At 52.5% G+C, this 27,566-nt stretch overlaps 1 protein-coding gene and 1 non-coding gene across 2 annotated transcripts in view, besides 3 other annotated features; both read right to left on the bottom strand.

Moving 5' to 3' along the window:
* SND1 (staphylococcal nuclease and tudor domain containing 1) overlaps window positions 1-27,566 on the bottom strand; it is a 440,400-nt gene that overhangs the window by 6,660 nt on the left and 406,174 nt on the right. Inside the window, exons 17-20 of the mRNA NM_014390.4 lie at window positions 11,244-11,432; window positions 4,433-4,574; window positions 1,087-1,210; window positions 154-223 (exon numbers count right to left, since the gene is read on the bottom strand). Coding sequence (NP_055205.2) covers window positions 154-223; window positions 1,087-1,210; window positions 4,433-4,574; window positions 11,244-11,432 — 525 coding nt within the window. The remainder of the gene's footprint in view (window positions 1-153; window positions 224-1,086; window positions 1,211-4,432; window positions 4,575-11,243; window positions 11,433-27,566) is intronic.
* MIR593 (microRNA 593) lies at window positions 3,974-4,073 on the bottom strand. Its single transcript, NR_030324.1, has one exon. It is a non-coding gene; the product is annotated as a microRNA 593 (primary transcript).
* Window positions 8,326-8,825: an enhancer, noted in NCBI's record as "H3K4me1 hESC enhancer chr7:127717161-127717660 (GRCh37/hg19 assembly coordinates)". NCBI's record gives its function as "activates a minimal SCP1, AML or CMV promoter by ChIP-STARR-seq in naive H9 embryonic stem cells {active_cell/tissue: H9 hESC(naive)}" and the evidence as "EXISTENCE:reporter gene assay evidence [ECO:0000049][PMID:30033119]".
* Window positions 8,826-9,327: an enhancer, noted in NCBI's record as "H3K4me1 hESC enhancer chr7:127716659-127717160 (GRCh37/hg19 assembly coordinates)". NCBI's record gives its function as "activates a minimal SCP1, AML or CMV promoter by ChIP-STARR-seq in naive H9 embryonic stem cells {active_cell/tissue: H9 hESC(naive)}" and the evidence as "EXISTENCE:reporter gene assay evidence [ECO:0000049][PMID:30033119]".
* Window positions 19,079-19,579: an enhancer, noted in NCBI's record as "H3K4me1 hESC enhancer chr7:127706407-127706907 (GRCh37/hg19 assembly coordinates)". NCBI's record gives its function as "activates a minimal SCP1, AML or CMV promoter by ChIP-STARR-seq in primed H9 embryonic stem cells {active_cell/tissue: H9 hESC(primed)}" and the evidence as "EXISTENCE:reporter gene assay evidence [ECO:0000049][PMID:30033119]".

Here is a 27,566-nt window from a genome sequence, read left to right as displayed (position 1 = left end):
AGGGGGCCTGGCCTGTTACACGCACAGCAGAGATGCCCCAATGCTCATTGTTCTATTGGTAAGCTCAGAGGGACCTTGGAGAGATCAGATGGATTTGACTCGGGGGCTGCTGTGTTTGATAGCCCCTCCAACACTCTGGTCCCCAACACTCACGTTGCCGTAGTCAATGTAGAAGACATGTATTTTGGCAGGAGACTCGACTTTCTCTACTCGGGCACGGTACCTGCAATGGCATCATGGGCAGAGCTCAAGAGACAGCCCTGAGGACTCTGGGCTCCCAGAGCCTCAGCAATGGCGGGGCAGGGGCACAGCATTTCCCTGCCTGGGTTCAACGGGTGTCACAGGGGACAGTAACTGCACTCCATCTAGGCCCAGCCTCGGCCACTGTGGTCACCACCTAATGGAATCAGAGCATAGCTGGGAGCAGAAGAGGGAGAAAGGAGCATGTGGAGCAGATTAATGTGTCCTTGGGGCATAAAGCAACAAGACTAATGACTAGATTGATGTCTGCTGTTTAAACCCAGTGCACTAAACAGCAGCTGTAATTAGCCAGCAGATCTGCCTGGGAGGCCGCAGCAGGGAACATATCCAAGTCACTTCGTCACCCTGGGAAGGCCATGGGCCCTCCCTTGGTAGATTACACATCAGCGACCTTCTTCCGGCCTGTGAGCACTGCTGCTCATGTCCTAGACAGCCGGGGAAGAGGGTCGGGCAGCTGGTTTAGGCTTACTGTAGCCCAGCCTCTACCTCAGCCCCCTGTAACATCATTCTTCCTGGGTGGGGTGAGGGGTGTGCTGGACAGCCTGGCCGGCCGGCCAGCCAGCCAGCCAGCAAGGGCTCCCACCCTGGAATCCCCCAGGAGACAAGGAAGGAGCCACTTCTGTCTGGCTGGACTGCAGGGGTGCACAGGCCAGAGCAAGGCCCCAGATGGGCTGTGGGCAATGAAGAGGGACACCCAGGAGAGCTGCTAGGGGCCATCATTAACCAGCTGGGGAAACCAGACTGCTAAGGCAACACCTGAGGCCTGAGGACAGCCCTGCTATCGTTCCTGCTCAAGACTCTGCCTTGCTTTTCCAAGTGGCTTACCATTCTCCATCTACAAATTTGGCAATGCAGAACTCTCCCCTGCGGGGGGCATAGGAGCCCTCTACAGGGGGGTGACTGGCAATGTCATTGCGCATGTTCTCCATCAGCTTCTCCAACTGGGTGCCTGCCAGGGAGGAAGAGCACAGTGAGACCTGGGTGCTGGGTTCCTCGACGGCTCAGCAGGGTTTTTCTGGGAGTGGTTGGGGAGGGAGCTCAATGTAAAATTCTGGGGGGCACTGCAGCACTGGCTCTGTCCCCAACCCATGCGGGGAAGCCCTCTTGGTCTCCACTCCAGAGGTTTCATGCCATCTGCCTTCAGAAGTGGGACTGGTGACTTGCTGACATGTTGGGCCTTAAAGGCACACACAGCCTTGCCATCTCAGCTCTCCAGTCTGCTGGCCCAGGGTGTGGGAGCCCTTGGGATGTGCCTGAGCTTTGATTAAGGAGGTGGAGAAAGAAAGTAGACAGGGAGCAAGGACAATCCAAACAGCCTCCTCCAGGGTGAGAGCTGGCCAGCCCGTACCCCATTCCTGCAAGGCCAGCTCCTGGCCTGGGCCACAGAGGTGGTAACTGACAGAAGCCACTGTCTACTGTCTTTCAGGGGGCAAAAGTAGGGATGAAGGATGGGCCCCACACCACCGTGGAAAAGGCCCCAGAATTGAAGCCATGGAAGGTGGGGGAGGAATTCTTGGATCAGGGCCTAGAGCCTCAGTATTATTCAAACTTGGCCCCTCTGACCCTTGTCACCCTGCAAGATACATGCTGAACAGGACTTCCAGTGCTGCTGGGCTGGGGCTGTACTGTCCCACCCTGCTACTCAGGGCCCCTGCGCCACAGGAGGAGGGATTCCCTGCCTTGTCTTTCCCTAAGCACTCTGACCTTGGGTCAGTGGTCCTGCTGCTTATTTGCTGCTTTTGCCTGTTTTAGCAACACCCAGGGCCTACTCAGTTTCTCTCCCTGGCTCCTTGTAGAATTCTCCCACCCTGACTCTGGGAGGCATCAGTCCCTTCTGGCCCTGATTCTAGCTCAGTCTCAGACCTTTTTTGCCCCTTGCGTCTCAGAAGCAAGGAGGGTGACTGTGGATCTGTGGTCTAAGTGTGGGGCTCCTCTCTTTATCTTCAGGCCCAAGGCAGTGCTGTAAGGAGGGCGCAACATATGTCTGTTGTTACACTTGCCACAGTCAGCCTTATAAGTTCCCTGCTACTATACTGTGAGCTCCTTCAGGGCATAGAGCATAGCTCACTTCTTTCTGTTTACTTGCACAAAGCCTGGTAGAATCCCCAATGCATGCAGGGTGCTTAATAATTCAGCTGCATTGAAAATAAACTGCATAAGCATGCAGGGATGTATGTCCACTCTTAAGCTGCTGCAGAGGCCACTGGTCCTGCATCCACACGACAGAGGCCTGAAGGTAGCAGCCGCCCCTCTCCCTACCCAGTGGTCAGCCCTCTATAATTCTCTTTAGACAGTGCTCCTTGCCATAGACAGTGAAATTCCAGGGATTAAGAAGCCTTGACAGACAGCTTCCTCCCTAACTTGGTCTACTTTCATTTTTTTTGCTCCAAGGCAACAGAAGCAGGACTTTGTCTCCTGCCAACAGGCAAAGCCCTCTGGGAGGTCCTTACAGAGCCTCACTGGTCATTTGCAGCTAATGGCAATGTTTTCGTCAGATCCCTCTTGAAGACAGACTCTAATTGAAAGAAGGGAGACAGGGTGAGAGGATGCCACCCAAGAGGGGATGAAAGGTTTCAGCAGAGAGGGGGCTGTGGATCCTGAGGTTCATCTCCATGGATACCATGGAGCCACCAGAGGGCAGGGGCCTTCCTCTCTGGAGCCCACCACAAATCCCCAGGTGGCCTGCCAGGAAGGGCCTCACTCCCTTCTCTTCCAGCATTCTAAGGACACATGGTTTTCTCTTTTCTCTTGTTTTCTGCCTCAGATTTCTGCTCTCTAAGACTTCAGGGGCTTGTTCTGAGTCAAGGCGGGTCCTCCCCAGCAGGACCCAGAGGCTGAGTAGAGCCTGCCTGGGAGTGATCGCATCCTTTTGCTCAAGTTCTCTGGTGGGCTGGCGGGGATTTTGGGGTGGTGGATTCCAGCTGGTTCCTCTGCCCAGGAACGGCTCTTGTTCCCACTGAGACCACCACTACAAGACTCCTTCCCTGTCACATGACCCAGCCCTAAAGGCTGGCCACCGCCCCGGTTCATTCAGGCAACTGCTGGAGCAGCTTTCAGCAGGACTGTGGCTGACCTCAAGAGAACCTAATCCCGCAGGCTCGTGGGCTCCATCTCTACCCCTCCCCCTTGCGTTTTTCCTTTTTCAAGCACAGCCAGCCCAGGGCCAGGAATGGTCAAGTTTTTCCTGGTGAAATGACACTGCCACAAAGGCAGCTGCCTGGGAAACAGCATTAGAGGGAAGTGGCTGAGACGGGGCTGGAGCGGACCTGGGGTGGGCTGAGGAGGCTGGGCAGAGCTGTGTCCTGCCATCTGGGGGACTGCCCAAGTGCTGCTGACACTTCTAGCCCCCTCTGTCCACCTGTGCCTACCATGATTTGTTTCCTGGGATCCAGAAGCAGCTCTAAGAGCTTTTCCTTCCGCTCCAAACTCAACTGTTTCCCTGCACAGGGTGGCCATGAGAAAAGGGAGGTCAGGGTGGAAAGCGTAAGCGGTTGGAGGTGTAGTCGGGCTAGCGGCTGCCAGAGCTCTCTCCTGCCCTTTGGCCTCCAGAAACCCCAGGTCTCTGCCCAGGGGACCCTGGCCACAGTGCACACCACTCAGGACGGAAGGAGGAGAAGGTCCTTCAGAGACTGCCCGGGGATGTCTTCCCCTAGAGCGCTGCCTGTTTCCATGGAAACTGGCTATCACTCAGGGCTATGTTAACCTCTAGAGAAGGAGAAACCCCAGCAGAGACAAACCCAGCACCACTCCTTGCTCCCCCAGAGGGAAACGGGCTGAGCAATGCCTGGCTGGTGCCTGACAGATTCTGGGGGCTACAAATCATCCTGCCCAGCATAGCCAGGGGTATGTAGGAACAAACAATCACCTAAGAGACTCAGAGCTCCACCCAGATAAACCTGGTTATCTCACCTGCGTCCAGAGGACCTGTCCGGCAGCACCTCCATGCCTGAGCCCAAGCCAGGGCTCATGTGAAGGCTCCTGAAGTAACTCCAAGCCCAGAGGAGCAGTGGGACAAGGCAGGGAGACAGGGGCGGCAACGTGAGCTCTTCAGGGGAGGCTCCTGGACTGCCTAGGCATTGTTCCTCCCACCCACTGGGCAGAGGCCCCCTACCCCCAGGCAGCGCCAGCTGGACCAAGCCAGGAACCACGAGCCAGCGGCCTGAGCACTCACCGGTCTCCACATCCTGCACGTAGAAGTGCAGGTCATCAGTGATCTCAGTCACAAACACGGGCTTGTAGCTAGCAGATCGCTCCTTCTCCTCCAGCACTGGCATCACCTCCTCCACGGGCTGCTCCTCATAGTGGGCCCAGACCTGCATGTTCAGTCGGCAGAGGTGAGAAGAGGGCGAGGAAGTGAAGTCATAAAAGACACTGGGAGGCCAGGCGTGGTGGCTCATGCCTGTAATCCCAGCACTTTGGGAGGCCGAGGCGGGTGGATCACGAGGTTAGGAGTTCAAGACCAGACTGGCCAATATGGTGAAACTCTATCTCTACTAAAAATACAAAAAATTAGCTGGGTGCGGTGGTGGGCGCCTGTAATCCCAGCTACTTGGGAGGCTGAGGCAGGAGAATCGCTTGAACCTGGGAGGCACGGGTTGCGGTGAGCCAAGATCATGCCACTGCACTCCAGCCTGGGCGACAGTGCAAGACTCCGTCTCAAAAAAGAAGAAAAAAAAAAGACACTGGGAAAGGGGTTTTGGGCAAATGGGATCGGCCCTGGGCGAGTGACTGTGGGGCACTCGATTCACACCAGGCTGAGCCCCTGAAGCCCTCTATCTCGGAGGGGAAAGGTGAGTTCTCTAAAGTCCTGATCTAGCAGTTCTCAAATTCTGGCAGGCATCAGAACCAACAAGGGAATTTATTAAAAATGCAGGCCCCAGATCCTACCCCAGGCCTACCAAATTACAATCTGTTCTGAGCATCCCAGAGAGTAAAAAAGAGCAAAACCAGATCCCAGGCTATCTCATGCACGTCCGAGTGTGAGAGCCCTGCTTTCATGAACTCTTTGGCTCTGGGCTCCTCACACCCGCACCTCTCTTGCTCCAGCTCCCCATCTCCCTTCCCCGTGGCACTCTGCAGGGCACTCTGAATTCTGCAGGACCTCCTGCTGTCACAGGGCTCCTGGTGCTCCTGAAGCAGTCCAAGCCACAGCCCTAGGCTGGGGAAGAGCTCACCAAGAATGCTTCTGCTCAGCAACTTTCCCTTTCTCCATCCTCCTCACCTCCAGCAGGTTGCTCTGACCTCAGCCCAGAAGCTGGGCCATGCGCTCTCCACCCTTCCCTCTCTCCCTTCCTTCCCCAAAGCCCTGTGCTGTCAGGGCTGCAGTGGCTCAGAAGCTGATTTGACGCGACAGCGTGTCAAGTCCAATCCTGCAGCCAGGAGATTATCCAAATGGTGAGGTCTGTCAGAGCAGGGGAGGGAGGTGGCTTTCCAGCTGAGCAGCAGGAAGGGTGGGTGGGAGAGTGCAGAGAATGGATCACGCGTGGGGTCCCACAGACGCACACAGGAATAAGGATGATTAAAAGTATTTGCCCAAAACTTCTGTGCTTATTAGGTGCCAGGTACCATTCTAAACATTCTCCAAATATTAATTCATTTAGTCCTTACAACAACCCTTTGAGTAGGTCTTGGTATTATCCCTGTTTTACAAATGGGAAAACTGAGGTACACAGGCTTGCAGCTAGAAGTAGTGAAATCAGAATTCAAACATAGGCAGCCTGGCACTACAGCTCTTCCAGGGGCACTTTGGCATTGACTAGGTATCCCTGAGAAAACACCACCAACCAGGAGGAAAAAGCTGTTTGTTGGTGGGGGGTGGGGAGGGAGATGAGGACTTATGTCCCTGTTGTTTTTGAACTTGCCATTTGACATTGGTCAAACTTTTCTGGGTCCCCTTTCTTCTCTCTCAGCTGAAATGCAGATTCCTCAGGAGCTTCAGGACACAGCAGAAAGGCAGGAATGCTGGAATTCTGGAACCACCTTGGGTCAACCCAGACCCCACACTTCTGCCTTTAACGCGGCCTGAGCGTGTGTTCTTCCACTAGAAGGAGCGGCTATGGGGGAATGACTGAGACATCTCCCAGGCCCAAGCTTTCCACCATCCTACATCAAGCAGTGCCTTCTATGGCTGGGCTTGTGGGCCCCTGGTATGGGGTCTGGCCTCCTACCCAAATAGTTCCTGACCCCTTCTCACCTTCCAGGCTCCTGATACCCTAACACCTGTCCCCATCACCAGAGACCTCTGTACACACTGCTGCTTCTAGTCCCCTAAGCCCTGGCTGGCCAGAGGGGAGGAGGCAGGCAGCAGGACTTTAACCCACAGCTTTGCCTCTAGTCAGGACAGAGGCCCTAATCCCTCAAGGGCCTTCCTGCCCATGTGGGGAAGTGGGTCTCTAGCTTGTGGGCTTCCCTGTGAAAGGGCCAGGAGAGAGCCATAAATGCTTCTGATGCCAAGCCTATGTCCTGATGGGCCTGAGGCTTTTGCCCTGGGCCTCCAGAGCTGGAAGTTCCCTGGTATCTACTTAGCCAGTCACTCCTATTGACACCTGGGCTCCCAGCCCTTCTGGGACGCTTGCAGCTCTGAGGATCAGTGGGACTCACTCGGCCTCAGAGACGAGACTGTCAGCACTACCTTAAGTGAACTGGGATGGAGCCCTCCTGACCCAGGAGTCTGCTCCCTCATTCCTACCAGCAGGCACCCCTGCAGTCCTGAATCCCTCAGCACGTCCTCTGCTCTGCATCCCATGCAGGTGCTCTTCCCTCTTCCTGCCAGCTCCCTCCTTTCCCGGCACTGAGCTTGTTAACAGAGACCGGCATTCTGTGCTGGTTCCTGAGTGGGCCATGGCCCCTGAGCCTGCAAGCTGTTGAGGGCTCCCATCCTAGCCCCACCCTGCTCCTTTGGCTTGGGGGAAGGCGGCCCCTCAGCAGTGTTGATGAATTCGGAACACACAGGATGAAAGCAGAAACTGCTAAAGACTCCTCAAGTAAAAGTGCCTTGGGTGACAGCATCAGGTGTCCTCCTTGGGGAGAGTGGGGTGGAGCTTCTTTCCCAGCAGGCTCAGGTGGGCAGCAGGCGTGAGGTCACGGAAGATGCAAACCAAAGCCTTGGGGATGGCCCTCAGCCCCCAGCACTAGGGCCAGTCCTGTAACAAGGTGCCACAGCTCACTTCGTGGTGGGTGGGGTGGTGCACACTGCCACCTGAATTGAGAAGACAGCAGAAGCAAGGTGTCTCCATACACAAAGTGGCTGGCACTTGAGGTTGCCAAGAAGCATACAGAGGGTAGGAGAGAGACAGCTGTCTCCTCAGATAAAGGAACTGTGTTTCTAGGAGAGGCTGACCTTTGGCCCTTCAGGCAGTGCAGCCATGACGGTTCCCTCTTTCCCTGTGGGGATGGAGGTGACCAGCTGTTCCTTGGGACTTGCAGCCACATGGGCAAGCTGGTCCATGCAGGCTGGCCAGGTGGCACCTTGGTGGGAAGGAGTCAGTCAGCTGGGACAGGCGTGGTTGCCCTTGTCCCCATCCTTAGAACAAGGGTGCATTTGGCTCAGGCTGCCCTTCTGCAGAGCTGGGGTGCATGGAGGAGACACACTCACTGGCAAGACACCTGCCAGACCCAGCCACTTTCCACAGCCATCCTCAGCCCCTCACAGCTCAGATTTCCCATAAGAAGCTGGTTTCTGGGAATCCCCATTGTAGATGCTCCTCTTCCTGGACCTCTGGGGAGATGACAAGGAAAACTCCAGAAGAAACAGTAGTTGTACACCCAGACACAGAAAATTATTGCTGTATGGCTCTACCCCAGCCTCTTGAAAGATGGAGGAGCTGGGGAAGAGCCTCTATGGCCAAAGAGCTGGGCAGAGAACAGGGGTCCTGAGCTTGACCTAAGCAGCAGGGCCCAGGAATGCTGGGAGAGCCAACCACAGGACAGTCTGCCCTTCTCATGGACCACCTCTAAGCATGTGGAGAGGCTGTTACTAAGCCTGCTATTGTGGAGAGGCTGTCCCAGCTGACTGATGCCAGGGTTTGCGGTCAGGTGGGGGAAGTGTCTCTCCAGGCCAAGGCCAGGGTGGAGCTCTGCCCCTGGTGGGGCACTGCTGGTACCCCCGGTGGCCCCAGCTACAGAGCAAGACTGGGAAGGGTGGATGGAGGCCCCTCCTGCCTGTTCATCTGCTCCAGGCTGCTCTGCCATGCAAGTTCCTGTCTTGCTCGGGTCCCCTCTACACTTTGGGGCTCCTTGTGTTCTGTTGCTGCGGCCACCCTGAGGGAAAGAGCCCATCAAGCCAGGCACAGACCAGGCAGGTCAGGAATGGAGGCTGTCTCTCCTCTCCTCTCCCTGCCCTGGCTCTCTCTCTTCCCTGCATTTCCTCCTCAGGGAGTCCCAGGTCCTTCTCTTGGCAGGTGATGAGGACTGTGGACAGAGAATCCACTGGCTGGAGTCTTTCCTTTCTAAATCCTGTTTAACATTGCTGCTTGCAAGGCTCCAGGGGTGGGGCTGGCGAGGGGCCAAGGTGGCGGAGGCCTTTAGGCCTGCAGCAGGGAAGCCAAGCTCAATAAAAGCCAATCGATGGCCAATCCAGCCCTGTGCAGGGCCCTGCTGAGCACGTGTGTGAGATGGGGTTAAGGAGGGGGGACAGGCATCTGCCATCTGTGGTTCCCTCCTTGGTCCTCAGGTCTGCCCAGGGCTGCTGAGGAGGAAGTGGGGGTTACCTCCTGCCAAGGAAGTGGAGAGCCCTATCGGCCTCTTCACTGAGGAGGCATCCACAGGGCACAGGGAGGAATTACACTCAGCAGGGAGGTAGTTAAGCCTTCGTAGCTGGGAAACCAGCATTCTCAGATTCCCCCAGACAGACACACTCACGAATGCATGCACACACAATCACACTCCCTAAAGCCTTCTGCACTTCCTGGTCTCACAGAATCCCTCAGCATTACCTTTCCTTGGTTAGCTACAGGCACAAACATTCCTGCATCCTGATGCTAACAGGATCTTGTAACCACTGTCTCTTGACAGGTAAGGCAGCCCTTGTGGGATCAAGTGGGACAAGGCTGGGTACACCCCAGATACTCAGGTTACTGTCCCCCAGCCGGCCACCAGATGCTCTTATCAGGGTTCAGCCAACTCTTAGAGCTGCTACAAAGCTCTGCTAGTGCTGCTCCTGGGAAACAGCCCCTCCAGGAGGAAGAAAGCCAGCCTCGGTTCCTCAGGATCCTTGACGAGCAGACTGGGATTTGCAGGAGAGGGACCCAGGAGGCGGCAGGCCCTAGCACTGAGAGTTGTGCACTGCATTTTAATTGGACTGGAATAAAAACACGCAGGCCGTGTAAGTAATTAATCACTGGTAATTACTCCTCAGCGTCATCAAGTGGCACCAGCAAAATGGTGACTTGGGCTCTTTCAGACAAACCCACTGTGCAGTAAATAACGATGCTGAGTTCAGCACAGCCCCTGGCAGGGAACCCACCCTTCCATCTCAGGCCAGAGTCCCCTCCCTGTGCTCCCCTGGGTTCCTCTAGAGTCTCTACTCTTAGAGGGTAGAGGATCGCCCAGCTCTGAAAAGGTGGCTTCCAGGTTCACTGCTGAAAAGCCAGGAAGCAGGGCAAGGACGAAGATGCTTTTGGCCTCTGGGCGTTAGACTCTGGGGCTTGCCGCTCTACCCCCAGCTGCTAACTCTTCTGTGAAAGTGCCAACCTTTAAACAGGAGGCCCCAGCGCTGCCCCTCCCCCCCTCTCCCTGCAGCAGGCAGAGGACATGGGGGTGGCAGTCTTAAGTTCAGCTGTCACAAGCAGGAAATCCAGGAAGAAGCCGTGTGACTCCTTTCCTATAGGAGCTGAGGCTGCCTGCTTCCCCCTCATTCTGGGAGGAGGAGGCTTGATGTGAGCAGGAGGTGGGAATCTCCTCTGAGGTCTGATGGTGGCTGCCTCCTGCAGGGCACTGACCGTCCCTTTCATCTGTGCTAGCTTTGTGGTCCACCTTTCCCTGGAGTCTTTCCACCTCCACTCTCCTCTACCACCAAGGGGCTGGTTGCCTGCCCCAATCCCCAGGGGAAGGGAAGAATAGATAGAGAGAGACCCAGGAGGACAGTCCCAAGGGGACAAGAGATGCCCTGAATGAGGAGGCAGCTGCTTGGGGCTGGTGAAGAATCTGGTGCTTCTGGGGCCTCAAAGCCCCCGACTCTTTTTGGCAGGTGTCCGGGCCTTAGCTCTGGGAAGTGAGTTTTGAGCCAGATGGCTGCCCCATGGGGAAGGAAGCATTTATTCCTGGAACAAATTTATAGCTCAGCACGGCTGTCCCACGAATCCTCCTCAAGCTCAGAGAAGCCCTGACAAATTGGTGGCCAGCTGATTTATCCCCATTATCAGGGCCGGGCTATAAGTCAAAAGCAACAGGCTGGGTGAGCCCGGCTCCCACCTCCAAATCACTGCATTCCTCAATTGTCAATTGGTTTCCAAAAGCCACTTTCCACCCCATCCCCCTTGTCTCTTCAATGCGGTGCCCACAGAGACTGATGGGCTATAAATCTCTTGTCCTAACAGCTAGAGGCCTCTCCTAGGGTTGTTTCCCCACGGGGCAATGTGAAGGAAATTCAGATGTGGGCTTGGGCCGCCCAGTCCTGAGGGCACTGACAGAGAAGGGTCAGGGCTGGGGAGGGAGGGGCGCCCCGGGCATTTTGTCCCATGGCTCCACAGTCACCTAGACAGATTTCTGCTTCAGGACCACCTGAGCAGGCCTGGGATCACTGATGACATTCTGGGCTGGCAGCCCAGGCCCACCTCAGGTCTGCAACAGGCTGTGGCCGAGGACACCTCAGCTGGCAGCCTCTCCTCGCCTGTGTGTGGCCTTGGTGTGGGGTCTGAGACCAACACCTTCCTGGGCTACTCTGTGGGGATGAGAGAACTTCCTCCTGTTCTCTGGAGGCAGCAGCATTAGTGTGTGAGGAGGACGGGAGGGCAGGGAGAGCACAGCTGGGCTGCCACATGTACCTTCTCTTTCTTCTGCTTTGCGGCCTCCTCGGCAGACAGCAGGGACTTGTAGTAGGAGCTGCGTTCGGCGGTGAAGTGGACCTTGGAGAGCGCGTGCTCCACCAGCAGGACGGACAGGTTGGCACCGTCGATGTGCAGCCAGCCGATAAAGTTGCCGGCCTTGTCCATGCTCTCCACCTCCACCTCCACCTGGGACAGAGAGACAGGCGTAAGCCTGTGGGGGCCAGGCCTGAGTGTGCAGGGGCTGTGCCCGTGGGGAGGACAGCAGCGCCGAAGCCTTGGGCTCACAGGCCTTGGCAGCCGCTGCCAACCTCTGGGAACCCCCAGAACCCTTCAATTTCAGCCTCTCACGGGAACAGACACACCCCAAAACTCGACTCTCTTCTCAGAGCCCCTTCCCCTCCTTGCGGCAGAAAGCTACCGGGGCAAACGGGATTCTCCTTAACCTGAGAGAGAGAGAGAGAGCGCAGCTGAAGGTCAGGAGCAAGTGAAGAAGCAGGCAGAGGTCTTGGTGCCTCCCACTCTTCAGCACCCTCCCCAGCTCTGTGCTAGAAGACAGGCAGGTCCTTAGGGAGCGAGGCAACCCCTGGGGAGAGGGAGGCTGCTTTTCCTGGTAGAGCTGAATGAATTCGTGTCTAATGAAGGTAATTAAAGTGGTTGCATGAAAAGCAGGAGAGGAGAGGGGGAGAGGACAGGAGAGGCAGAAAGACGCGGGCAGGAAATGCATCAGCGCAAGGGCAGTGAGTGACAATCCCGCAGAAGGAGTGGCCAGAAGGGTGTGGGCTGTGGCTGAACCCCAGAGCCCTCAAGGAATCTCCACGGGCCTCAAGGCCTCCTCCACTGACTGTCTCATCCCGAGGACCCAGGATAACAGACCTAGCACTGACTGCTTTTCTAAAAGGGCAGCCTCAGGATCGTGGCCCTCGTGGTAGCTGATCTGCTCCCACATCGTGAAGGCCACTGCCCAGGATAAATTCCTTCTTTGATTTTCTCCTGACCTCTTTCTTTCCCTGCTAAAGGGGCCTATAAATGTCTTTGCTGCCAAATGTAAAAACTTGTATTAATTTAAATGCCTTCAAGCTCGATTAAGCAATAAAATGAATGTCTAAATACCTGGGAATTCTCGAGGTCGGAGCTGGAGCTAGTGACAGAAGGTTAGAAGGGATGAGGGATACTGGGTGACATGCCTCCCCAGAAGGACAAGGAGGTGGTCTGGGTGTGCAGAGAGAAGGTAGCGGGGAGGAAAACAGGCAGGGCCCGAGAGGCAGGACCCTCGCTTCCTCCCATCCTTGAATACCCTCTGCGTCCTTGAGGCCCACATTTGATCCTTCAAGAGGAAATGCAGGTTCAATGACAACTGAAGTTGGAGTGTGGTATAGAAGGGGATATGTGGAGTCTATTAGAGTTATTAACGAAAAAGAGATAATGGAGAACATATAGGTCCAGTCCATGTTGATTCTGTAGGTGGCACTGGAGAAGTGTAGCTATTAAGGGACAGAGCTGAGAGCAGAATCCAGGTTTCCCCAATGCCTTCTCTACACTGCCTCCTGGCAGAAAAGACCCTGCCCCTCCCTAATACCCCCTTTCCACAGCCTTCTGTTTCAGGAGCAGCCCTTCCTTCCACTGCCATACCTCTGCCCCCTCCACCATCCAGGACCGTGGGACCCTGCAGCTCACTAGTAGAGTCTGGGCGTAAGTGCTGGCCCCAATTCTGGGCTGGGCTGACCCAGTGCCTGAATTCACGACAGAGTCCAGTGTCTGTGGGTGTTAAAACCAGTTTCTCCTATCTCTAATTTTGGCAACTAACCTGCTGAAGGACCTACTCTTGTAGGAGAGAAGGGCAGGTGGGCAAAATCTGAGGTTGCTCAGGTTTCAACACCTTGGATCCACCTTGCAAATGCCCAGGGCGCTGGAACAAAGGAGAAGCTTGGCCACTGGAAGACTGAGCGCCTCCTCCAGTGGGAGGCCAGGAATGGGGAACAGACTGTCATGCCTGCAGGGGCTGGGGGAGGTGGCGGGGGTAGTGTGGTAGGGGTGGACAAGACCTGTGAGGGGCAAAATGATACATGAGAAGACTGTCTCTTGCTCATCTTAACTTGCCAAGCTTTATCAAACATGCTAAGCTCAAGAAGCAGCAGGTCCTAGAGGAATTCTGGGGAAGCTGAAGGAAGAACAGAGAGGTTGCTTGCCTTGTGTTTAGGGGTTCCTGGACACATGTCTGGGCAAAAGCAAATGAGGCTGGTACAGTTCCCAGCCAACACTGAGCCCAGGCCCACATCAGTTTCCGCATTCCCTGACCTCTCGTCTTCCACAATTTTAGTAGCCAAGTGTCCTTTCCCTAAAACCAAGGATGTCTGCCCTGCTTGGACACAAGGCCTCTCTCCAGGCCTGGCAGGCCACTAGACAGCTTGTGGTGGGCCAGTGTGGCTCTTAGCACTGGGTTGCTGGGGTTGGTGCAAGAATGTCAGAGATACGCTGCAGAGGCAACCAACCAGGCACGCACAGTTGCTGTCTATCCTGTGAGGTGCCAATGCTCAGACCCCAACCCACATGGCAAACCCCACATTCACACCTCGCTCTCTGAGGCTGCAATCCACATGCTCGCCTTTCTCCAGGGCTTACATGAGAAGGAACCCAGCAATGAGCAGCCACACCTGGGGCCAACACTGCAGGGTGCAGCCGGGCTCTCCTGCGCAGGTGAGCACCAGCTTCACACTTAACCAGCCTGTCGCCTGCAATCGATATGCTAACTTGGGCTTGACAAGTCCCTGGGCCCAGCCAGCCGCAGATGAAAGAAATCTCTGGCCTTGGGCACAGTGCTGCCACCGAATCCATCCTGGGTTGTAGATGGCGATAAAGCTGTCGCCCATGGGGCTCTGTTCCCTTTTATTACAGCTGCCACAGCCACAGTAATTTCTCAATCAAACAAAGGCACTCGGGGAAGGTGGGCTGGCTCCTCTCTAGCCAAACCCCATGCGGTGTCTCTCCTTCTCCACAAACCTCAGCCTGGACGAGGCTGTGGAATTCGGTGTGACGCTTCTTGAACTCTGGGAGAATTACGGAGATTGAAAGCAGAGGTTTAAGCAGGTTGTATGTGTGTGATCATCCTTTGATGTTTCTCTTTTACATTGACTGCCAGGAAGTTATGACTTAACTGTAACATTATGTGGGTCTATGTTTGTACAAGTATTATTTCTTTGTTCAACTCAAGGATTCAAATTTCTCTGACATCTTCTCTTAATTAAAAGATAGACACAGAGATATATACATACAGTTCAATTTTGTTATTTATGGTAATTTTGTTCTATAGAGAGAATTTGCAAATATTGAACCATTGCTCCTAGGGGAAATGCAGGTTTGGGTTCCTGTGAGCCTCTGGTCACAATATTTTCATCAAATCAATAAATAACCTTGTTCTGTGTTTCTGTTTAAAGACACCTTGTCTAATATGTGTTGCTGGCTCATTAACACTGAACTCATGGCCAACAGCACAATGACTTATGCCTGAATGAAGCTTATCTAACACATGTATCTTCTCCATAAGGCACATCCTAGTATTTCTGCACTCAGGAACACTAGACAGCACTTCAGCTCTATGCTGGGGGCCATTTAAGACTGTGAAACCACCAACAAAAAGCATGAAAAATGCAATAACATGATGCTAAATAGATTGTGAGAAGGACACTTGTTTATATCATCAGAGCTGAAACAAGAAGGCAGAGTGTTGTCTTGTTCTACCCTGTTCCACCTAAAATGGAAATGTGCCCCGCCAGATGACTCAATTTTTTTTGTCACTCTGTGCATGTCCACAAATGACTGCAAAAGTACCATGAGTATTGATTTTGGGGTTACAAAAATAGATTTTGGTGAATTTGCAAATATGTAACCGGTGAATAATGAAGATCGACTGTATACTGTATAGACACATAGAGTTAATTCCCACAAGTTGCCTCAAACTGGAGACTATAAAGAGACATGTCTCACAAGTTGCCTCAAACAGAAGACACGTTAGGGGAGGCTCATTCCTGTAAATAGACAAGAAATTTCTTCTTGTCCAACTGGCTACTGCAAGCATTAAATGAGATCCTACTGGTGGAGTGTTGTGTAATTTGCAAACTGCTATAACATAGCCACTCATCTCTTGGGCATCTTGGAGTGTTTCAGGAAGAGCTCTGGACTCAATAGCTTCCACAGGAGGCCTCCTATAATGGCAGGTGACTTTAGGCCTTAGGTGACTTAGGTGACTACCACAGGCTGCTAGAAGGCTGGGAGCAGGCTTCGTATGAGAGCATGCACTGACGTGCACATGTGGGTGGATATGGCCTTGAGGGCACCAGAGTATGTGTGTGCATGTACACAAGCAGCATGGGCGAGGGACAGATGAGGGCTCTCCTCTCGATTCCCCTCTACTTAGTGCCCATGCTGAAGCTGAGACCTAGGAAGACACATGGTTCTGGGGGAGGGGGGTACCTCCCGAGAGACTATAAGAAGGGGCAGGTGGTGCCACACTGAGGAAGGGGCTTGGTGGTAACTGGTTAAGAAGCGAACAGCCTAGAGGCTTGAAGGTCAATGTGACCTTCAGATGTTGACAGCCATTGCAGTCTGCCTCACTTGCAGCCCTGCTGGTCTGCCAGCATCTCTTGCTCTCTGCTCTTGATGCTGGCAGAGTGGGTGGGGATTTTGAGGTTGCTGAATACCTGGACTGCACCTTTGCCCGCTTCAATGCCACTTTCTCCGGGAAGGCTTCCCTGATCCCTGGCCTACCATGAATCACCCTCTGAATGCCTATGGGTTCACCCTCCCTTTGGCACTTGTGGGGCAGTGTACAGCATGGAGGTTATAAGTGTGGACTCTGGCTCCAGACTATCTAGACCTGCATGAATTCTGGGGTGCCACTTAAGTTCTCCGTGCCTCTATTTACTGTAAAACTGGGATTGCAACATCATCTACCTCAAGGATGTTATGATTAAATGAACTAATATAAATATGTTAAGCACTTAGAAAAGTGCTTAGCACATAAATGCTTCAACACGATCATCATAAATTATTTACTTCCTGGTAGGGGCAGTTATTTCATTTCTAAATGTCTTCATTCTCCAAGTAGACTGTCAGCTCCATGGGGAAGGAAGCTTGTTCCAGACTGTGAAATTTCTCCAGAGCTGAGCACACTGACTGGCCCATGAGGTGGCAGAAAGAGCATGGATTCTGGAGTCAGATATCAACTCCCAGTCCTAGCTGTGAATTTTTGGGTAATTCACTTGACCTCTCTTAGACTGTTTCCTTAATGGTAAAATGAGGAGGGGTCCTGTGCACTGAATGAGGTAACAAAACTGCTTCCTCTTCCCTTCAACAAATGCCAGTGATGCCCTGGTGGGATGGTTACATTCAGCAGCTGTCCTGCTTTGCTGAGCTGTATACCTCTGATGAGAAGGGTCTTCTCATCAGAAATGGCCAATCCCTGCTTAATGAGCTCCTTTATTCTCCCTGACTCTGAAAGCTTTGGGTTTCTTACACCCGGGGAGTCCTCCCATGAAATACCGAGTGAAGGTAAGGCAAGTGGGGTTGATAGGATGAGCTCAAGTGTGTGACTGTCCCTGTACCACCTGCACAGATCCCTTTCTCTTCAGTGGAGGTCTTTCCCCATCACAGGGCCAAAGCGGTGGGTGCTGCCAGCCAGCCATGCCCTGCAGGAGAGCAGCTCGACGCTGGACCTGGCCTGACTGTGGGCTAGAGCAGCCAGTGGGCCCTGCTGCCTCACAGTGGGACGTGTCCTCCTGCTCCCAAGCACATTAATATGCCACTAATGAAATTGTTCTGGCTTATTTACCAAATTAATACAAACGGCACAGGCTGTTAATTTCCATGTCTCCTAATTACCGAGGAAGAGCTCCCCATGCCCAGGCAACACACATACCTCAGTGATCACCCAGCCGAGCTGTGGTCTCACCCTTCCCAGGGATGAGGAAGGGGAGAAGGGGGAGGAGAAAAGAAGAGCATGGAGCAGCCCCCAGCTCCGTGGCTGAAATCAAACATGGAGGAAGGGGGTGGCCAGGAACTTGTTTCATTTCCTGCGGCCCCTTTCTGAGCAGTCTCAGTGCCCTGGGCTCCAGAAATATACACTTGGTCCCTGTCCCCACCCCAAACTGTTCCTCTTCTCCCCATTGTCTGGATTCTGTCAGCTCCTTAAAACAGAAACTACTTCAGTCAAACAGGCAGTGGGGACCAAGTCCTTCTCCTTCTCTAAGCAGTGAGGCATATTCTTGGCCTGGGGTACAATGCAGGGCTGAGGGGTCTGGAGAAAGGAAGAGAAGTGAAAGCCAGGCAATGGATGATGGCTTTAGAAATGTCAACATTCTCAACTTCTTCTAGCCCTCTGCAATTAGACTTCAGATTCTGAAATCTTTCCTAAAGAAAGAAGGGTTTGGGGTGGGGGGAGGGAGAGAGTGAGCATGTGCATGCATGTGGTAAGTGTGGGGAAGATTATTTAAGAACTCAGCTTTCAAACCACGGAGGAAATTCTGACTGCCCTGGGGGTTGATTTAGCTGTGTCTGTCCTTAACTCGCCTGGAGCCTGCAGCCAAGCTGGATGCCTAGTGCTTCCAAGTAGGCGCAAAGCTGAAGATCCAGGTCCCTCTCCTAAAGCCTCCTCCAGGTCATGGTGAAGTTGCGGGGAGGGTGAGGCGGGAGAAGGTGCACTGGAGGCTGCTTCTGGTAAGGCTGGCTTAAATAAGGGAGCCGAGGGCACTGGGGGCAAAATAATTAAGAAATGGAGACTAGAGAAAGACAGCAGGGGGATGCACATTCCCCTTGATGACTCAGGGCACCCAAAGGAGAGCGTTCACACAGGGGATTTACTAGCAATGGGGGGAGGACAGGGAGACCCCACACACATACAAGCCTTTCCCTTTTTACTTTCTGGGAGGATGGAGAAGAGATACTGTCTTCCCCAAGTGCACAGGCGTTACTGCAGTGCACAATGCCTGAGGCAGTACAGAAAATTACTGAGCCTCAGCCAACCTCAGAGCCCTGGGTTGCGAGGCTGTAGGTTGCCTGAAAACAGTTGTGGAGGATGCTCCCGTACCAAGGAAGGTGGGCTGCCTCAAGCAGGACAGGCAGGTCCCAAGTAGAAAAGAGCCCAGCACAGGGCGCCACTGCCCTGAGGCATCTGGGAAGGAAGTCACTGCACAAAGTGGGGTGCTGGCTGTAAGTTCTTCCAGGTAGCAGGGTGGGGCTGCTCAGGGCTACCTGTGGGAAGGTGACATCAGAGTCCCCACAGACAGGCTTTAGAGGCAGAATTCTCCATCATTTCCATGTGCTGTCTGGCCATATTCCTGCTTTCAATATTCCTAAAGCAACCAGCAACAATCACAGCAAGCGGCCTGGATGGGAAGAAGGAGCTGAGGAGCAGAGAAAGGCCCTGGGCTAGAACTGTGATCCAGGTGCCAATCCTGCCTCTTATGGGCTGGGCACACTGCACCTCTCTTTGGGCTTAGTTTCTCCATCTGGGAAATGAGAGTTGAACAAAGTTTCCAAGGTTCTCTCTGCTCTGCATTCTCTGAGGTCAGAGAATGGGGGCAGCAAAGCTGACAGACTGTGCCTGCAAGCCAACAGGAGAGATGAAAAGCAACAGTTCCACAGGAGAGAAGGGCAAGCAGGGAAGCCCCATTTGCTAACGATCAAGTCCTGTAGGAGAACTTGCAGGGGGGCGCGGGAAATGGAGAGACGGGAACTGAATAATGACTCGGAGCCCAAGGTACTCCTGCCTCTTCCCAACCCACTCATCCTGGCTGCAGCTTTTTTCAAGAATGTGAGTAGTGTTCTGGAGTAACCAGCATGTAGCTTGGGTCCTTTCCTGCCATGCAGTGGTAGCCTTGCCCAAGGCTGGGTTTTCTACCATCACTGATGCTGCGTGAAGGCTGTAGCATGCTGCCACAGCCAGAACTGTGAACTTGAAGAGATACCTCACCTTAACACAGTAACAGTTTAACACAGCCAGCTCATCCCCTCCACTCCCGGTCACACACAGCCACACCGACTTCTTTCAGAGATGATGAACATTAACAATGCAATTAATAAGGCGATGCTGTGGAAGGCGAGAGGCTGTGCCTATGCAATACCTCCTGGGTCTCGTTACCATCTGCAACCGTGGGGAGTGGGCTGGCTAGAGGCAGGCAGCAGCACGGATTTTCCATGTGCTACTGTGGCAATGTGGTTCTGATCCCCACTGACGCCTCTGCTCCTAATCCCCCATCACCTCCAGACCAGGTAACTCTTTCAAGCGCAGCCCACAGAGTGGATTGCTTTTCTAGAAAACCTCTTTTCTGGCATTGGAGTGCTAGGAATGCCTGGAAATCAGGCCTGGGCTGGCACACCAGCAAGAGGGGCCAAGAGGCTCCTGAAAAGAAAAGGCCTGTGCTGTGGGTGAGCTGGCTCTAGAAGCTCAGGGTGGCTTTCTCTCCCGCCTGGAATGCCTTTTCCCTACCTCAGGGATGAGGGGTGGGATGGTAGGGGTAGGGGGGCAGCTTCGGTCCTGCCTGAGGCAGTGAGGCAGCAGCCACTGCCATCAGCATCATCTGGGTCTGCTGGGAAATGCAAACCTGCTGACTCCAGGCCTTTGCGAGCGCTAACACAGTTTACAAACTGACGCAATCTGTTCCTTTGGTGCAGGCAATAAGGAAGCAGACTGTTCATCTTCCCAGGAAAAACCCGTGCTGGAAGCTGGAGGGAGATTTAACACTCTTCCCTGAGGCTGGTGCCAGGGATGTGGCTAGAATCAGGGGGCCCTCATTCTGTCCCGGACCCATCTTCCCAAAGGTCTCCCAAGCCAGAGCAGGCATGCCTGAATGGCACAGCTCCTCCTCATGTTCCCAGTTGACGTGAAGGGCAGTCCCAGGCAAAAAACCAGGAGAGAAGGCTGCCTTCCATTCGGTGCGTCCGTTCTTTATCTTGAACACTGGTTTGGGCCATGGAGTCAGCAGCAGTGGCCCATGTTCTCCCAGGCCCAGCCAAAGAACCTCTATGGCTTTAGAGCTGTACCCAAGCCCTAAAGGGATGGAGCTAGGGGTGTGAGAAGACAGTTGGCCTCTTTTCTTGGGGAAAATCGGTGTATGATCTATGGAGTAACTGCATGAGGTTATTAAATCTCTGACTTGGTCTGAAAGTAACCAAATGTTGTCCAATCAGGTCAAGTTCACGTGTCAGTTCCCCTCTGCAGGTACCTGTACCTATATAACTGACCTCAAGGCCTGCTGTGGGATGGTACAGACCCCTGCCCTGTTCCCAGGCAGGAAGTAGCTGACCTGTGACCCCCCCAATGGGGCCAGTCCGCTCTGCTTTGTGGACCTTGATTCTCAGGCTCCTATACCTGAACCACAGTGGGTTTCCCACGGAGACCCACACTTTGCTGTTAAGAAGCATTTAGCATCCATGATTACTTCATTCCCTTCCATCCATCTTGCAGAAAAAGAAATGAACTTGGCTCCAGATCACAACCTCTTCTGCTTCCTCAGGTACCCATTTCCATCAGTTACCTCTTTCTGTCATCACCTTCCCGATTTCCTTTTTCACCGGCATCTAACTCTTCACCTGCAAACATCTTGCCCATCTTAGCAAGTCTTGCTTTGACTCATATCCCATCAAGTCTACCTCTTTCTCTTTACCCAGAGAGTACTCTGCACATTGCCAGCCCCTTTTCACTTCTGTAGCCAATGCAGCTGGCTACCAGTCAGTACTCCAATGTCACTATTACTTCAAAGACCTGTTAATTGCCATTTAAATAATTTCTTCTCAGATTTAATCATTTTTGACCTTTTAAATATCTGTAAAAGTCAAGCACCCCCTTTCCTTTTGGAAACTTTCTTTTTTTAGGCCTGTGTTTCCCAATCTTGGCTTTTTCTCCCTGCTTTCTTAGTAGCAATTGTGAATTCTTCCCCAACAACATGGCCCTTGAATATGAACGTTCCCCAGGGGCTATTTTAAGCTGTAGACAGTCCCTGCATCCCACTGCTCTCTGAATTATAGAACTCAACTTTCGCCTCTAGTGCAGCGCTCACTTCAGAATTCAGCTCCACCAGGTGAATCTCCAATGTAATGAGTCCCATTCTGAATCTCTCACCTTCACTATGAAACCTGTTCTTCCACCTCCATTTCTCATCCCAGGCCGCAGCATGAGTAGCACAGGAATCACCCCTGGGCTCCACAGGTAGGTCCGCACCAATACACACTGATTCTACCTCAGAAATGGCTCTTGGATTCTTCCCCTCTTTTTTATCCTTATTGCCATGCCCAGCTTTGAGTAACAGGTCCCCCACTGCTGTCTCTGTACCAGACTTGTCTCTAAGGACCCCTCCATGATACTGGAGGGTGTGGCTCATCACAGGCAGTGCAGCACCATGGTCAGATGCAGGCTCTAGGGCCAGACCACCTCCTTCTGCGCTTGCTCTACTACTTACTGGCTTAATCTAGAGTGGGTTTTTTTTTAACCTCTCTGGGTCTAGGTTTACCTTGTGGTCAAATGGGTATAATAATGAATGCTACCTACCTCAAAGGGCTTCAGTGAAGAGGAAGTGAACTGATTCAAGTTAAACACTTAAGGAGAGTCTGGCGAATAGTAAGTGCTCAATAAATGTTGTTACTTAAAAAAAAAAATTTCCCAATCTGATCACTTCACCCTTCTGCTGAAATCCTTTCCTTGTTCTCCACTAATGTTGGAATTCCTCAGTACAGCACAGAATAAGCGCCTCAGAGCTGGGCTCTTCCTGCTCTCAAGTCCTGCCATTGTGGCCTTCATTATTTTGCTTTAGTCAGGCCACACAACTCCCAGCTCCACAGACAAGTTGCATGGTTCCAGGCCTTGGCACATGCTATTCATTTTGGCTGGAATGTTCCGTCCTATGACTTCACCTGTAAACTCCTACCCAACTTACCCCTTGGATTCTGCACAGATGTGATTTTATTTGAACCACTCCATTACTTATCTGGGTAGGGCTTGTTCTCACAGCACTTTACTCATATCACCATGACAGTATTACAATGGGCATTTATTAATGGCACCTGGTAGGCATTCAATAAATAGATGAGGAAAGGCAAAATATTCTAGCTTCTCCAGATCGCCAGCAGTGACGTGGGAGAAGGAAAGTCCCTGGACAGAATACTACCTTTGGGTACATGCATGGCACCAAACTGACTGGAGAAGGCCTATTTCAAGAACTCCTCGAAGGTGAGAGGACCATCCCTCAGCTGCCCCTGCCACGACAAGCATGCTTGTGGGACCCAGAGGGGCAGAAACTGGCTTCAGTCAGTGAGGCCAGCAGTGATGACTCAGAGGCAGCACAGCCCAGACGCCATGAACAGAAGGGGCTGTTTTGCACTTGGCTTTGCCTGTACTGACTATAACTGGAGTGAGGATGGCCTCCTCTGTTTATCCAGGCAGGAGTGCAGGCAGCAGCCGTGTGTGCCTCCCTCCGGTCTCCCACGCATCCACCACCTCCTCACCACCCATCCCTCAGCAAGGAAGGGGTGAAGAGCAAAAGTGGACATGAGAGAGCCTAGGAAGAGCTGTGAGGATAGGGCATGAGCTAACGACGTTGAGCAGAGGTGGGAGGTGGGGTGAGGCCACAGATGCCATGAAGCCTGGACCCCCGGAGCCCAGACCACTGTCTAGCGTGAAGCCCTCCAAGCAAGGGATTAGGTGGTGCTGGTCAGGCCACAGTCACCTCAGGAAGCATCTAAGTACACGGGCTGAGACGGCTGGAAGCTACAAGTCACCCGCCAGGTGCTGGTCTCGAGCCCTCTGGAACAAGGAAACCTTTGAGGAAAGGCAGTTGCTGTTGGGTTTGAAGGAATCCGGGGCTTAGATTGGGATGCCAACCCCTAGCTCAATCCCTTCAGAGTTCTCAAAACTGGGCTGTGGGTGTGGAGGCCAAAAGCTGCCAGGATAAGACAGGAGTGTCCCATGTCAGGGTGGGAAGGGGACGTGGAGCACCTTCTCTTTTACCATCTGATTTCTTGGCAAAAGGGACACAGACGCCAATCCCTCTTGCAGGCCAGAAGAAGGCACCAGAGAGAAGAATCTGTTTGAACAGATAACTGAACAGAGATAATTCTATACTCTCAGCTAGGGATCAGGCAATTTACTTGCTTCATAAAACTGAATATAAGAAACGCCAAACAATTTCAACCAAACACATGCCCATCCCTCCCTGACTAATGTTTGATTAACTGCATGAAAGGCACAGCTGAAAGCACCAGAGGGTGAAAGGAAGGGACTCCCTTGCCCCTTCTCTTTCCTTTTGTCCTCACGCCTCTTTTATCATTAGGCTGGCTTGAAGGTACCATCCCCTCTGAGGCAGTCCTATGCCCCTGTACATAACTCACTCCTACCTGTCCTTAAATCTACCCTGCCTCCATGTGCCAAGCAGAAAGCCTGACAGAAGCCTGCTTTCCTCACCAAGCGATGCATAGCATATGCTGAGTACAATGGCCCAGAGAGGGCAACTTTTTCTGATCCACACAAAAGCACCATTGCAGGGAGGCAGCAGCCCCGTTAACCTACACTCCAGATCGGACACAGAATAAAAAAGTCCAAGCTTCTCCTCTCACCCGACTAAGGAGCTGCCTTTAGGCACAGTAGAGAGAAGATCTGGACACTGTGGGGGACTGTGCATGTTCCCAAACTGTTTCAAACCTATTATAACCCAGCAAGGAAAGTGAAGAGGCCTTTGAGATGACGCTGAGCCCCTGAGCCTGGGCTCTGAGCTCCTGCAGCGCCAGTGCTAGAAGGCTATTCTGCATTCACCCTCCTATGCATAGTACAACTGGATTCTTGCTCGGTATGACCTGGGGGGCCCAGGATTGCTCTGGCCTCTCAGGAATGCAAGGAAAAGCCTGTGAGTAAAAGCTACCAATTATAAGGTTTGAACACATACACGTGAAATAAGGATAAATGCAGCATGTCAGAGGCTGGATCAGCCTGGTTAATGACCCTGGCCCATGCCCTCTTCTGTGTGGAGGTTGGGTTTCCTCACTGCTAGTTTTTTATTGCTAATGACAATTAAAATATGGCATGGCTTACACCCTCAGAGTGGAGCTCTAATGTGCCGCAGCCCTCTCAAACTCCTAGTGCAGGGCTGCAGTTTGTGACCTAGAAACGTATAGGTCACAATGAGCAGTGCTGCCTCTGGCCTTCCTCATTCTGCTGTGGGACCCAGTGGTCCTTGCCTAGCCCGGGCATCTTGACCCCACAGCTTCTCCACACAGGGACCACACTCCTTCTTCCACTTTACCCACTGCCCAGGACAGGGGCTCTTGATGGTTTTTGGGCCTTGTGATCAGCTCCTAAAAGTTCTCAAAGCCACTGCAATGAGATCAGAGGTGAGATACGGAGAAATATTAGTGATGGGAAAGAACAATCTGTAGGATGGGTCAGCAGCATGGGTGTTGATGTGACTCTCTGCCCATCTGCTTGACAGGAGCCAGGGTTTCATTAATTTCAATTATTGTTCTCTCTCCACTTCAAACCAATGTCCCAAATACAATTCCGTTAACAAGGTCATAGGATGCAGCGGGTAGTCCCTCAGCCCTACTATTTGCCCAGCCTGATTCTGCCCTGTTCTCAGGCATGAAGTAGCTGTCTTGTGACCCCCCAGTGGGGCCAGGGTGGCCTCATTCTCCCTGCTCCACCTCCCAATTCTGTTGTGCTAAGCAGAATTCCACTGATACATGCACTGCTTTCCAGGTAGAAAGCACTCCTCCAAGGGAGGTGTGTCCTGAAATGGAGAGAGGAAATGAAGACGCTCAGTGTCTCTTGCTAAGATGTCCCAGAAGTCACAATTGAGCTTTTAAAGAGAATCTCTTTGACTTTGGAGGAAGAAAATGGACCCCACCCTTGAATAAGAACAGCTGCCTCCTTGGATAGAGGACACCTGGATGCCACTCTTCCCACCATGGACTTCTTGCCACAGTGCCCTCGGAAAAAGCTTTGAGACTCCTGCCACTACCACCCCACCCCTCGGTGTAAATGCCATTTAAGCAATGTGATTTCTTTTAGTGCTCTCAGGAGTTGCTCTCAATTGCCCACTGCTCCTGAGCTGCTGCCTAGAGGCAGCAGGCAGGAAAATGCAGAGTGGGAAGTTAAGGAGCAGGGAGGAGGAAGGGAAAGGCCAAGCCCCATCCTTTATTTTAAGCAGGTGCTTGTGAAGACACTGCAGAGAAGACAGGAAAAAATAAAAAAGGACTCAGAGGAGATTCTCAGCATCTTGTATCTTCTCAAAGAGAGAGCATATTCAATGGTGTCATGCTTCCATGTCACCAATCTCATTTCCTCTGACTCTCCTTCACGGACCCTCTGCTCTGGCCCATTTGATCTGCTTGTTGTGTGAGCTGCCCAACCCATCCCCTACAACCCTGCCAGTCCCTGATATCATGATCCTGCATCATGGCTCAAAGGCCAGACAAGCTGCAGTTCCCACATGCGAACGAGGGAGGCAGAGCCCACTTAGAAGGAGATCTGTTCATCAACCAGTAAAGGAGTGCTAAGCCATCACCTTCAGGAATGTGTTATCAAGGAGTACATAATGAAAATAGCTGCAACTGCTTGCAAGGGGCAACCCACACCCACTATTTTTGTCTTCCAGGAAGCCTTCCCTGATCCACTCTTCCTAACAAGTAACTCCATCTCAACATTCATCTTGTCCTATATCCACTTGCTCTTGGTAATCCATTACCTCTTACATGTTAAGCCCTCTGAACGGGCTATTTTCCTGTTTGTTTGAAATTCAGCCCCAGTCCCCACAGCTGGGGCATGTGCAGCACGATTCTACAGAGTGCTTCATAAAGAGAACGTGCTGGATTCCTGGGGAAGACTGTGCTTGGCAGGGCTCTTTTGTTTCTGAGCAGCACCTTCTGTGTGGCTACATTCCTGGTTGCTGTCCAGAGCTTTCCTAACAAAGACAGCTTCCAAGGCCAGACAAACAGCAGAAAATGCAGGTTAAACCTGTACCACAGTACAATGTACACTGCAAGGAAGGATGCTTGTGGTTCAGCACTGCATCTCCAGAAAGACAGCAGGGCTAGAGAAGGACTGGGATGCCTAGTTGAGCTGATGAAACATATGACAACATTCAAAAAATGATTAGGGTTCCTCAAAGTGAGAAGACACATGTTGAGAGAACGTGCATGTATAAAAATCAGTAAGTATGTAAAGAGACCTAACATTCACTTTAATCAACTGACCAAGAAATGGGTTTTTGTTATCTTCTAAGCAGAAAAGCACTGTATTAGGCACTGCAGTAGGTCTAAAAGGAGAGAGAATTCACTTCTGTCTTCAAAGAGCCTATGATTTAGATGAGAAGACACGATAAAGCCACATCCTGTCAGTCAATGACAAAATGCCATGTAAAACACATGACTGCTGAGTGGTACAGGCAGCAGGTACTAGGGGGGTTCAAGGGAGAGAGCCAGCTCTGAGCACTGAAGAGTCGGGAAACTCTTTCAGGTAGGATCGGACCTTAAAGGATGGGACTTCACAGGTGGGGAGAAAGGCAGACATGTTCCAGCATAGGGAATGTCTAGGGTCACACTTTAGAAATAGTGCATAAGTGGCAGGGTAGAAGAAGGAACGAGGGTAGAATTTTGGGACAGAAAGCCATGCTGAGGTCAGTGGAGGTGCAAGTAGACATTAGAGAAACACGGGATGACGGGGAGAACAGAAGCCAGGAGAAGGTGCAAGCAGCTCAGAGGAAAAGCTGGAGAGAGCTGACTTGAAGGATGGGCAAGGGGAACAGTCAGAGCCCACCCACCTGCTGAGACAGATCGGGGATGGAGGAATCAGGGGCTGGTTTTAAGGAAGGAGGGGAGGGAAGGAGGGACGGAACGAGAGGAACCTGAACAACATGTATAAAAATCCTGTGATGGCTGGGAGAATGACATGGGAAGAAATGATGCATGTGGAAGCTTGTGAATGGACCACGCTGAACTAGAGTCAGAATGTTTACAAGAGCGATCAAAGGAGTCAGAAAGAGGAGAAAAAGGCTGAAGGCCCAGCCTTTACCAGATGTGGTCAGATGCATGAATTTTCAATCCTTCTCTGCATAAAAGAGAAGCAAAATGCTTTGTGCCTGGTCCTGCCTTCACCTACCTGCCTCTAGTCCAACATTTTCCTCTTGATTTCAGGGTGATATCAATTGGCAGAACTGCACAGAGGTACCCAGTGAGAGCTCTGCAGCCAGACTATCTGAGTTCAAATTTAGCCTCTGCCATTCAGGGACCTGGAGGGAGTTATTTTAAGACTTTGTGCTTCAGTTTCTTCAAGCTGTAACATGGGAG

The sequence above is a fragment of the Homo sapiens genome, chromosome 7, assembly GCF_000001405.40.
Source record: "Homo sapiens chromosome 7, GRCh38.p14 Primary Assembly".
Classification (NCBI taxonomy): domain Eukaryota; kingdom Metazoa; phylum Chordata; class Mammalia; order Primates; family Hominidae; genus Homo; species Homo sapiens.
This window is presented reverse-complemented; position numbering and strand designations above follow the sequence as displayed.